Source organism: Homo sapiens, chromosome 15, assembly GCF_000001405.40.
Source record: "Homo sapiens chromosome 15, GRCh38.p14 Primary Assembly".
NCBI classification, from domain to species: domain Eukaryota; kingdom Metazoa; phylum Chordata; class Mammalia; order Primates; family Hominidae; genus Homo; species Homo sapiens.
This window is the reverse complement of record NC_000015.10, coordinates 42,506,979-42,520,040: the sequence shown is the minus strand read 5'-3', so window position 1 is coordinate 42,520,040 and position 13,062 is coordinate 42,506,979. Positions and strand designations below refer to the sequence as shown.

Genomic DNA, 13,062 nt, shown 5'->3' with positions numbered 1-13,062 from the left:
GGGGTTCTGCCTGGTTTTGAATCCCAGCTCTTCCACTACATAGTGTAGCCTGGATGTAAAATGATAATAATAAAAAACATCTATCTCATATTAAGGCTACTGTTTAAGGATTAAATTAACATGTTCAGAATAGTACCTTAAATTAATGCACAGGCCCACAACTGTTACCCCAATCCATTGGGGGCAAGATGTTTTGGACAGTACCACATAATTAAATACATTAATATTTCTGTAGTGACGTTGCGTGTGGTGGCTCATTTCTGTAATACCAGCACTTTGGGAGGCCAATGTGGGAGGATTGCTTGAGCTTAGGAGTTTGAGACCAGCCTGAGCAACATAGTGAGAACTCATCTCTACAAAAACTTTTTAAAGTCCAGGTACGGTGGCTCATGCCTGTAACCCCAGCACGTTGGGAGGCCGAGGTGGGTGGATCACTTGAGGTCAGGAGTTCAAGACCATCCTGGCCAACATGGCAAAACCCCGTCTCTACTAAAAATACATTAGTTAGCAAGGTGTTGGTGCATGCCTCTAATCCCAGCTACTTGGGTGGTTGAGGCATGAGAATCGATTGAACCCAGGAAGCGAAGGTTGCAGTGAGCCGAGATTGTACCACTGCACTCCAGTCTGGGTGACAACGTAAAACTCTGTCTCAAAAAAAAAAAAGAAAAAGAAAAGAAAAGAAACAGGGTCAGGCATGGTGGCTCATGCTTGTAATCCCAGCACTTTGGGAGGCCGAGGCAGGCGGATCACCTGAGGTCAGGAGTTCAAGACCAGCCTGGCCAACATGGTGAACCCCCATCTCTACTAAAAATACAAAAATTAGCTGGGCGTGGTGGCAGGCACCAGTAATCCCAGCTATTTGGGAGGCTGAGGCAGGAGAATCGGTTGAACCTAGGAGGCAGAGGTTGCAGTGAACTGAGACTGCATCACTGCACTCTAGCCTGGGCAACAGAGTGAGACTCCGTCTCAAAAAAAAAAAAAAAAAGAAGAAGAAACAAAAGTTTTTAAAAACAAACCAGGCATGGTGACATGCACCTGTAGTCCCAGCTACTCATGAGGCTGAGGTGGGGGGATCACTTGAACCTAGGAGGTCGAGGCTGCAGTGAGCCAAGATCATACCACTGTACTCCAACCTGGGTGACAGAGTGAGACCCTGACTCAAAAAGAGTATTTCTGTAGTGAAACCAATTAATATCTACAGCAAGTAATAAAGACTAAACATAGCTTCAGTTCAGGTTACATTTTATACCCTAATGAGTTGTGGCACCATTACAGCAAAAATAAAACAAAACTTTAGGAGTTTTTTAGATTTCTGAATGGCCAGCAGGGCTTAATGGCTCATGCCTGCAATCCCAGCACTTCTGGAGGCCAAGGTGGGTAGACTGCCTGAGCCCAAGGGTTCAAGACCAGCCTGGCCAACATGGTGAAACCTTGTCTCTACAAAAGATACAAAATTAGCTGGGTGTGGTGGCATGTGCCTGTAATCCCAGCTACTCAGGAGGCTGACGCTGGAGGATAGGTTGAGGCTGCAGTGAGCCATGACTGCCACTGCACTCCAGCCTGGGTAACAGAGCGAGACCCTGTCTCGAGAAAAAAAAAAAAAAAAAAGAGAAAGAAAAGAAAAAGTATTTCCAAATGGCAAATAAGGAACTCTGGACCTGACCTGGGTTGTTACTGCTACTGCTGGTATGAAGACTAGGCCTTACACATAGGACTAAGATCTCATGTCTACCTTTAAGAAGCTCATGTTATGGTTATTCATGTGACGAGCCTAACTGAAACACAGACTAGCAGATTAGAAAGATCAAGACACAGGCAAGAATGATAGGAACAGAGCTGAGGATAAGAGATATCATACTGGCCAAGGTCTCAATGGTGTAAGAAAGAAATAGGTGGAAGAAAGACAATTACAATCAGACATCTTTAACTGAGATAATACTTTCTTCTCTTAAGGGAACTGTTTTGTTACAGCAGCCCCTTGATTCCATCTCTCAAGAAGTGCCAGAAAAAAAAAAAGAAAGAAGTGCCAGTTGGGTGCAGTGGCTTAAGCCTGTAATCCCAGTGCTTTGGGAGGCTGAAGTGGGAGGATTTCTTGAGGCCAGGAGTTTGATACAAGCCTGGGCAACATAGCAAGACCCCTGTCTCTACAAAAAATTTCAAAAATTAGCTGGGCATGGTGGCACACACCTGTAATCCTAGCTACTTGGGAGGCTGATGTGGGTGGATTGCTTGAGCCCAGATGTTTGAGGCTACAGTGAGCTATGGTGGCACCACTGCATTCAAGCCCGGGAGACAGAGGGAGAGGCCATCTCTAAAAAAGTAATGCCTTCTCTTGATCCACTGAGAAAGGGTTCTACTGAGGTTAGAGGCTGAAGAATGCTGATTCAGGACCATACCCTACCTTGTTTCCCACCAGTCTTCAAGAAAAGCTTGCCTATGCTTGGCTGGGATACACAAAGAGACATAAAATTAATACTCTGTAGCTGCATTTCCCACTTTCTATGATATTAGACCATCTTAGGTCTAATTCAGTGCTCTTCCTATTTATCAACACGTGACTTAGAGCTGATCTTCCTCTAAGATTTTAGGGGAGACTTCTTTCTCCTTGTTCTCCTAACATCTGATCTCAAGAAAATTCATCTACTTCCTCTCTTCTGTACTCTTCCAAGAAGGTACATGGAACACAAGAGAAAGGTACAATTATGTTTGTAAAACATAGCTAAGAGTTTGTATCAAATAATCTGTACATTTTAACTTGTTTGCTTAAAGTAATCTGCTAAACTCTGATTGACAAGTCATAGTTATTAAAATATGAACTTTTGGCCGGGAGCAGTGGCTCACGCATGTAATCCCCGCACTTTGGGAGGCAGAGGCGGGCAGATCACCTGAGGTTAGGAGTTTGAGACCAGCCTGGCCAACACGGCGAAACCCTGTCTCTACTAAAAATATAAAAATTAGCTGAGTATGGTGGCACATATTTGTAATCCCAGCTACTTGGGAGGCTGAGGCAGGAGAATCACTTGAACCCGTGAGGTGGAAGTTGCAGTGAGCCGAGATCACACCACTGCACTCCAGCCTGGGTGACAGAGCGAGACTCCGTCTCAAAAAATACAGAACTTTCAGTTGGTCAACCAAGGTGTAAACAGGTCAACAGACTTGTGTTAGAATAGGAAGCCAATGGATAAGACTAGGAAGAACACTGTCAAACCTTTCCTCATGGCCAAAACAAACACTAAAGTTGACTGACAAGCAATTAATCTCTACTTTCTATAACAGAAATGGCATAAAAATGTTGTTTCATAAAAACACTTACTGAAAATATAAAAATATAACCGCTGTTGGTTTACAAGACCAGCTGAGAACTGGATGAAATATTAATGTCTAAGAACCTCTTTAAAAATGAATACATTGAGGCCGGGTGTGGTGGCTCACACCTGTAATCCCAGCACTTGAGGAGGTTAAGGCGGGCGGATCATGAGGTCAAGAGATCAAGACCATCCTGGCCAACATAGTGAAACCCCGTCTCTACTAAAAATACAAAAATTAGCTGGGTGTGGTGGCATGCGCCTGTAGTCCCAGCTACTCGGGAGGCTGAGGCAGGAGAAATCACTTGAACCCAGGAGACGGAGGTTGCAGTGAGCTGAGACTGCGCCACTGCATTCCAGCCTGGTAACAGAGTGAGACTCCGTCTCAAAAAAAAAAGGATACTTTGGCTGTGTGCAGTGGCTCATGCCTGTAATCCTAGCACTTTGGGAGGCCAAGGTGGGAGGATCTCTTGTGCCCAGGAAAGAGAGGCTGCAGTGAGCTGTGATCACGCCACTGCATTCCAGCCTCAGTAACAGAGACCCTGTCTCAGAAAAAAAACAAAACAAAACTTTCAGCAGTGAGTACAGTCATTCAATCTCCAGATACTGTCGTTTCTTTTTATACTCCACTCCAATCTGTCAACTCCTTAGTTTGGCATTCAAGTTCCTCTACTACCTACTTATATCTTACTTTCCACTTCTCATCTACATGAGTCACACAGCTCAGTTAAGTCAAGCTCCTTGTTAATCTTTATTTTGAACCTTTCATAGGAAATGCCCTCACTGTTCCTCCCTGTTCATCCAAATCCTTCTTATCACTCAAAGCCCAATCCACATCCTACCTCTTCTATAAGATGCTCTCCAACCCAACCTTTATCAGTTCTGTATACCTAGCCTTGGTCACTATCATATAATCTAACATTAGATTTAGCCTTGCTCACTATCATATAATCTAACATTAGATTTATGTATTTTTTATGTTTTGCCATTCTTTCCCAACTCTTCTACTCTTTTGGCCATCCCTCATGTGCCTACCACAAAATATATATTTTGTTAATACTCCTCCTTTGAAAGGAAAAGAAAATAACTCCATCCTGCTTTCCATCATCCAGATATACATTTCCCTATACTTCCTAACCTTTTCATGTATTACTACAAATTGAAATTGGACTTGATCCCAGGATTGGTCAAATGTAAGTCACAGTTTTCAGTGAACACGCAGTATTTACACAAAAAGCTTAATCTGCCTGAAGGAGAGACAACTTAGATTTATCTAATAGAGTTCCTCATTAAGCCCAGTCATACTTCTGACCTTAGCTGGTGGGAGAAGGTGGGGTACTCTCATTACTTATTTTGAAACCATCTTAATTTATCAACTCACCTATTACATGGGCAGACACAAAGGCCACAGCATTTGTTGAGTTCTGTTAAAGTCTTCTCTGTCTCTCTCATGTCCTTATTTATTTGGTCCAAGCCTTCTTCTATGCGGTTTAGTTGTTCTAAGAATAAGTTGTGAAGTTAACACTTTGTGTTCCATTCACAGTGTCAACCAGAAAATGCTATTATTATGGAACAGCAAACTTCAACCTTGAATCTACCAATAACTCCCCACAGTGAGTATGTCAGTGTCAAAAGGTATTAGAAGCGATTCAACATGATAACAATCTTTCACGTACTGATCCGGAGGCACCTAGCCTCTTGCTGTGGAAAAATTTGTTCTAAAAAGCTTGTATATGGCTGGGTATGGTGGCTCACGCCTGTGATCCCAGCACTTTGGGAGGCCGAGGTGGGCGATGACCTGAGGTCAGGAATTCAAGACCAGCCTGGCCAACATGGTGAAACCCCATCTCTACTAAAAATACAAAAATTAGCTGGGTGTGGTGATGGGTGCCGTAATCCTAGCTACCTGGGAGGCTGAGGCAGGAGAATTGCTTGAACCCGGCAGTTGGAGGTTGCAGTGAGCTGCGATTGCACCACTGAACTCCAGCCTGGATGACAGAGTGGGACTCCCGCTCGAAAAAAAAAAAAAAAAAAAGAATCTTGTATAGTAGGACCAAGGGACGGTTATTTAGAGATCATCCTTACAACCAAGTTAAGGGTACTTTGACGAGGTCAAATCCCCATCATTTCTATAATAGGTTCAAAACCTGAGGGCTATTATAAGAGTAATAAAAACTAGACCTGATTACTCAGGGCCAACTCAACTCAAGTGTTTCCAAGCATACCTGAATCTAGATCTGTTTTAGAACTTGATTTCTGAGGATGATGTAAGAATATCACAATGTCTGGCCAGACACGGTGGCTCACGCCTATAATCCCAGCACTTCGGGAGGCCGACGTGGGCGGATCAAGTGACTCTTGAAGTCAAGAGTTCGACATCAACCTGGCCAACATGGTGAAACCCTATCTCTACTAAAAACACAAAAAATTAGCTGGGTGTGGTGGTGGACACCTGTAATCCCAGCAACTCAGGAGGCTGAGCCAGGAGAATCACTTGAACGTGGGAGGTAGAGGATCCTGGAGTAAGCCACGATTGCACCACTGCACTCGAGCCTGGGTGACAGAGTAAGACTCCGACTCAAAAAATAAAAATTAAAAAAACAAAACAAAACAAAACAAAAGGCCCGGCACGGTGGCTCACACCTGTAATCCCAGCACTTTGGGAGGTCAAGGCGGGTGGATCACCTGAGGTTAGGAGTTCGAGACCAGCCTGGCCAACATGGTAAAACCCCGTCTCTACTAAAAATACAAAAACTTAGCCGGGTGTGGTGGTGGGCACCAGTAATCTCAGCTACTCAGGAAGCTGAGGCAGGAGAATCACTTGAACCCAGGAGGAGGAGGTTGCAGTGAGCCAAGATCACGCCATTGCACTCCAGCCTGGGCAAGAAGAGCGAAACTTCATCCCCCACCCCCAAAACTAGACAAAAATAGCGAAACTCCGTCCCCCACCCCAAAAAAAAAGAAAAACATAGTTGGGTGTGGTGGCAGGTGCCTGTAATCCCAGCTATGTTACTATCATAATGTCTAAGGCACATATAACCAATACACAAAATAAGCCATGCTGGCCTAACACATACTTGGTATATACAATTGGGCATTGTTGCCTGCCATCCCAAATAGACAGTGAACATGATATATAATTCAAATCAGAAGACAAGAAGTAAACATAACATTCTTATTTTACAAAGGGAAGGCTCTCCCAAAGGCTGAAATTTGTATGTGGCTAATTTGATAGGGCTTTTTGGCATCACAGTCAAATTAAGAATTTCTGCTAATAATTTAACTTACCCTTTTGTTCATCCAGCATAGTGATGGTCTTGATTCCTGCATCCTGAGACTAAGACAAGGGGGGAAAAGCTGATAGTACAACAAAACAAACCAAAAACAACAGAAACAAAACCTACAAGAGCAACACAGAATAATTTAGAAACCCAAGCTCTCAGAGGATTAGAGCTACAGACAGAACTAGTATTCTTAAACTAACACACTTTAACATAGCAGCCCCCAAAATAATTAAGTCACAAACTCATAGTGAATTCATCTTCCCTGTCATATTCCAATACTGTTAAAGGGAAAAACAGAAAATTCCCATTAGTGCATGGTTTGACATTTCAGCAACTGTTAATTTCAAATAATAAAGCATATTGATACATTACCCTTTAATACTAATTCCAGCCAGAAGTATTAGGATCGCTCCTATAAATTTCTATACTTAAGTTGATGACTAACATTTTCTTACCTCAATGGCTAAACCCAGGATTCTCCTCGTACTTTCCAGAGACTAGGAAAGAACACAGAATTTTAGCATTCCAAAATATGTAGAAAAAAAAATCTGATCACAGGCCAAATTCATGATGCTATTCTATCTTTAAAAATTGCCAGCTCAGGCCGGGCACAGTGGCTCATGCCTATAATCCCAGCACTTTGGGAGGCCGAGGCAGGAGGATTTCTTGAGTACCGGAGCTCAAGACCAGCCCAGACAACATAGTGAGACTGTTTCCATTAAAGGAAAAAACAAAAAGAATTGCCAGCCTATCCTTCCCTTTAAAACAAAACAATGGCCGGGTGTGGTGGTTCAAGCCTATAATCCCAGCACTTTGGGAGGCTGAGGTGGGCGGATCACGAGGTCAGAAGTTTGAGACCAGCCTGCCCAACAAGGTGAAACCCCATCTCTACTAAAAATACAAAAATTAGCTGGGCGTGGTGGCACACACCTATAATCCCAGCTACTCAGGAGGCTGAGGCAGGAGAATCGCTTGAACACAGGAGGCAGAGGTTGCAATAAGCCGAGATCGCATCACTATACTCCAGCCTGGGCAATAGAGTGAGACTCCGTCTCAAAAAAAAAAAAAAAAAAAAAAGTAAGTTGATCACTACATTTTTAGTTATTTTCAGGCGCTCCTTAAGAGAAAATGTGTAAGGACTTCCAGTGTGATGTTGAAAGAAAAAGTTTTTTTAAAAAAGAGAATATTTGGATGGTGAAGTTCATGGGAATAAAAATTTAATGTAGGTAGAAATCTAAGTAAATTACAGATATTAGGAAATTGTTAAATAGAAGTCTAGCATTTCTCAAATACATAGTAGAGTATCTTTGTTACACTTAAGTAATATTAATAATTACCTAAAAAATAAAAATCATACAAATTGTTTTCACTTTAGTTTTCTGGTGAGTTAAAAAGAAAATAAAAACCAGCAATGGCACTAAGGAGCAAATGTGTTCTTTGATATTAATGGACTAGGAAGAGGCCAAAATGTCCCTAAGAAGGCTCTCTCACTCCTCCAATATGAAAACTGAAATAGAATTATTTACTTATTTTAGGTAAAACATTTACCTCATCAGTAATCTGGTGAGCTCTCTGTTGAATTTCTTCTGATGACAGATTATCCATGATGAATCAAAACTCTATTAGGCACAGAAATGGAAATGTGGATATTGTATAAGAATAAGGATATATAAAAGTTTGTGTGAGCAAAAAGTGTAGATTTATGGAATTTAGGAACTTATCAGGAAAACAGGATAAAAGAACCTCTTTCTATATCTATTAGTCTACCACAAGTAAAGAAATCAAGACCGAGAGAGGCTAAATGAATGTTTAATAAGAGTGCCAAGGGTGAACCTAAAATACAGGTTTTAGGACTTCTAGGGAAGTACTCTTTCCAACAGGAAAGTGGATCCTCTACTTAGAGAAGCAAGGCATTACTGGAAGACAAGCATTAAAAGACTATTAAAGTGAATTTTTGGTTGTTCAATGTTCTTCATGTGTTGTCTGAACATGGAAAAGCAGTAGGTGAAGAAAAGTCCAATTTAGTAAAGTAACAAAATTTGAAGTTATGTGCCTGAAGAACACAGGAAACATTTCTAAATATGCCAGTTGTCCAGGACACTCACTGGAGAAAATACTTTCACTCTTAACAAGAAAAGGGAAATGCTGGTACAAACAGCTCGGAAAAGACTAAGGTTTTTATTATGCATTAGACTCTTCCCCTCCAGTGGCTTATATTGTTTTGTTGTTTTACTGGAGTCCCTAAGAAACCAAACAATTATTCTCCTATACACAGTAACTCAGAAGGAGATCTCATAGACATCCAAGCTAAAAAATAAAACATTTCGTAGGTGTTACTCAGCACGGCTGTTATCTAATTCCTCTTTGAGAAGTCATGTGGAGTAATAACAAGCATTGTGCAACGGATCTAGGTTCTTTGTTACATTTGCTAGCTTTGTATGAATTTTCTCAAAACTCATTTATCAAAACTCACGGTCAATGACACAGATAAACTCTGGTTCTTATTACAGATTTGACCCCAGGAATCTGGCAATGTCTGGAGTTGCTTGATTGTCACAACTTGGGCCAGGTGATGGGGCTGGTTAATGGCATCTAGTAGGTAGAGGCAGGGAAACTGCTTAACATCCTACAACACTCTTCAGGAAAGCCCTCCAGCAAAGAATAATCTGACCCAAAATGTCAATTTGAGGTGAGAAACCTTGCCATGGATATACTCTTTGATAAGCAGAAAACTTAATTCCCCAAGAATGTACTGGACTGAATTCTTGGAAGGCAGAGATTTTATCTTTGTATCTCTAACACCTAATAGGATCTGATGGTAGATACTCCAAAAATAGCTGAATGAACAAATAAGTAGAAAAACAGGGTGTACTCTCAAAGTATTTACATGGCTCTTAGAAACAAAGCTGCATGTAACAGTAGCACAAAGCTCGCAAAGAATCACTAGAGCCACAAACCAAAAACTGCTATTGCAAGTGTATGATATGATCACATATAAATCTTTTCAGTCATTTTTGGCTGGGTGTGGTAGCTCATGACTGGAATCCTAGCACTTTGGGAGGCTGAGGTGAGTGGATGGCTTGAGCTCAGGAGTTGGAGTTCAGCCTGGGCAACATGGCAAAACCCCATCTCTACCAAATATACAAAAATTAGCCAGGCATGGTGGCGCACACCTGTAGTCCCAGCTACCGGGGAGGTTGGGGTGGGCGGATTGCTTGAGTCCAGGAGGTTGAGGCTGAAGTAAGTCAAGATCATGGCACTGCACTCCAGCCTGGGTGACAGAGCAAGACCCTATCTCAAAAAACAAACAAACAAAAAAATTTAAATCTTTTCAGTTGTTTTTAATTGAACCACTACTATCATGTTATTTTTTTTATTTTTTTGAGATGGAGTCTCACTCTGTTGCCCAGGCTGGAGTGCAGTGGTGTAACCCTGACTCACTGCACCTTCTGCCTCCTGGGTTCAAGCAATTCTCCTGCCTCAGCCTCCCAAGGAGCTGGGATTACAGGCATGCACCACCACGCCCCACTAATTTCTGTATTTTTAGTAGAGATGGGGTTTCACCATGTTGGCCAGGCTGATCTCGAACTCCAGACCTCAGGTGATCTATCCACCTCAGCCTCCCAAAGTGCCCAGATTGCAGGCCTGAGCCACCGTGCCTGGCCTTGTTTATAATTCTACTGTCATAGCTGTTTTATGGTTTAAGATTTTGAGGGCCAGGCGCAGTGGCTCACGCCTGTAATCCCAATACTTTGGGAGGCCGAGGCGGATGGATCACGGGGTTAGGAGATCGAGGCCAGCTTGATCGACATGGTGAAACCCCGTTTCTACTAAAAATACAAAAATTAGCCGGGAGTGGTGGTGAGCGCCTGTAATCCCAGCTACTCGGGAGGCTGAGGCAGGAGAATTGCTTGAACCTGGGAGGCAGAGGTTGCAGTGAGCCAAGACTGTGCCACTGCACTCCAGCCTGGGTGACAGAGCGAGACTCCATCTCAAAAAAAAAAAAAAAAAGATTTTGAGCCTTGATTAAAGCCATTAGTGCTCATGAAAAAAAGCATTTTAAGTTCCAAATTTAAGTTTCTATCTTGCTTGCCATAGACTGTGCTTCAGGCAAAAAGTTTCCACACTAAGATATAATCAAGATATAAAGATATCATTCATTAGATACAAGCATAAAAGGAACCAGGTATTTTATTAATTTGCTAATTGTTTGAGTCTTAAGCTTTATCATACATACACATGTCCATGCTACTGTTCCTCTTTTGTCACTCTTTCCTATTTGCAACTACAAAAAGTAAATGGAGATTATTTTTTGTACCCTCTCACCTCCACACTTTTGCACACCTTTCCTTTCTATAATACCCCACATCTGCCCAGGTAGCCTCATGCTTTTCCATCACTTCCTAAAGCCCCAACCGAGATACCTCTCCAAAGCCTGCCCTCCCCAGGCAGTAATGCTCTGAAGTTATCTATTCCTGTCATGTGTAACTCCTCAATGCCCGACAGAGAAGAAAATATGAAAAATAATATACACTAATCCATTAGTGCCTGGAAAAGGCACCCTTAGTGAGGTTTTCAGATATAGTATCCTGTGGGTCGGGAGACATTCTGGGGTAAGGAAGCCCAAATATCACAAATTATGTAATTTTGTAATTCTATTCCTAGAGGTGATTATTGCCAATTACAAGTCAGTCTTTGCTAGCTTCCTAGGAAAAAAAAAGCAAAACTCCAGAGTTAGGAGTGAATGCACTCCTGACCTCTGTGCTGCCTTCTTTAAAAGAAAAAAGAAAGCAGATATAACTGGGAGATGGATAACGTGAGGAATCACCCCTGACATCGCAATGAGGTCATTCTGAAGGACACATCCTTTCCATGTGAACTCGAAGTTCTGCTTAATATTTTTTTCTTCCCTGACCAGACAACACGCAAGACAAGTAACAGATATCTACTCCCAAGTTTGGCATGCTAACGCCAGGATGCAGCTGCCTAAGATTACTCTGTGTTCTTGAGGGTTTTGAGCACAAGTTTAGTGTGGCTGTCGCTCAGAGGGTTGGATTCAGTACTGCCTGTGGATACCAATTGGCCCTGAGGAACCTGCAGATATAAAAGTCCGCCCTCTGTAGACGGGAGTTTTGCATGTATGAATACCGTATTTTCTTTTCTTTCTTTCTTTCTTTTTTTTTTTTTTTGAGGCAAGGCTTCACTCTGTCATCCAGGTTGGAGAGCGGTGGTGCAATCAGGTTCACTACAGCCTTGCCCTCCCAGGCTCAAGCAATCCTCCCATTTAGCCCCCTGAATAGCTGGGACTACAGGTGCATGCATCATGCCCGGCTAATTTTTAAGCTGTTTTATAGAGACAGGGTCTCACTATGTTATCCAGGCTGGTCTCAAACTTCTGAAACTTTTGGGGTCAAGCAATCCTCCCACCTCAGCCTCCCAAAGTTCTGGAATTACAGGGATGAGCTACCGTACCTGGCTGAATACCATATTTTCTATCTGCATTTGGTTATAGATGTGGAACCTGCTGATACGGAGGGCTGATTGTATTTACTGAAAAAAAAATTTACCTATAAGTGGACCCACGCAGTTCAAGCCCATGTTGTTCAAGGGTCAACTGTATATGAAAGTAACAGAGTCAAAGTAGAATTGTAAGGGGAAGGACAAAGACAGACAAGGAATAATACTCCTCAAGTTCTTATTGGTCTTTGTAAGTTTGCTGAGACGAGTCAGAGAGAATGTAACCTATAATTAGCTACATAGCCTTACTCATATTTATTATTCTCTGCAGACATTTTCCTTACGGAATCAGGAAAAGGTTACCCAGAATATTACAGAAAAGAGAACTGGTGGGGTGGGATGAAAAATAAAACATCAGTTGATACAAAGATGCCATTAAACGTACTTTTCTCAGATTTAATCTAATCTATTAAATACTTGTGTCATTTTTCCAGTGCTGCTGGGAACTTATACTATGCTAATAGTGTGCCTTTCAGAGGAAAATGCAAGATTTTTCTCAGTGCTTTTACACCCTATTTCTCATGCTATGGTTCACTTGGGCTTACTAAAAGACTCCTAATTTGACCTTTTTCTTTTCTAATTTAAACCTAGGCAGGGAAAGAAAAGTTCACTGAGTACCTCTTAGGCACCAGATACCCTACTAAGTATTTATCTACATCATTATCTTCATTATACTATTTTACAGATGGAGAAACTAAGGCTCAGTTTAGGTAACTTACCCAAGGCGGCTGTGTCAGTAAAGAGCAGATTGATTATTCAAGTCGGGATCTACTCGCAAATTAAGTATAATTCATGGTCTGATAAAGAGTCTTTCTGGAGCTGGGAGTGGTGGCACACGTCTGTAATCCCAGTACTTTAGGAGGCCAAGGCAGGAGGACTGCTTGAGGCCAGGAATTCAAGACCAGCCTGGGCAACATAGTGAGACCCGTTCTCTACAAATAATCAAAAAATTAGCT

The 13,062-nt window shown here is 42.1% G+C and overlaps 1 protein-coding gene across 8 annotated transcripts in view, besides 1 other annotated feature; it reads right to left on the bottom strand.

Moving 5' to 3' along the window:
- The window catches only part of SNAP23 (synaptosome associated protein 23), a 41,930-nt gene that overhangs the window by 13,018 nt on the left and 15,850 nt on the right, over nucleotides 1–13,062 (bottom strand). For all 8 annotated transcript variants that reach the window (XM_047433203.1, XM_017022694.2, XM_047433202.1 and 5 more), the window contains 4 exons: nucleotides 8,138–8,208; nucleotides 7,045–7,086; nucleotides 6,594–6,642; nucleotides 4,687–4,804 (listed from right to left, as the gene is read on the bottom strand). In XM_047433203.1, the coding sequence (XP_047289159.1) occupies nucleotides 4,687–4,804; nucleotides 6,594–6,642; nucleotides 7,045–7,086; nucleotides 8,138–8,194 (266 nt within the window). In that variant the 5' untranslated portion in view covers nucleotides 8,195–8,208. The remainder of the gene's footprint in view (nucleotides 1–4,686; nucleotides 4,805–6,593; nucleotides 6,643–7,044; nucleotides 7,087–8,137; nucleotides 8,209–13,062) is intronic.
- Nucleotides 1,703–1,903: a silencer, noted in NCBI's record as "peak2311 fragment used in MPRA reporter construct". NCBI's record gives its function as "represses an SCP1 promoter by STARR-seq MPRAs in K562 erythroleukemia cells {active_cell/tissue: K562}" and the evidence as "EXISTENCE:reporter gene assay evidence [ECO:0000049][PMID:32103011]".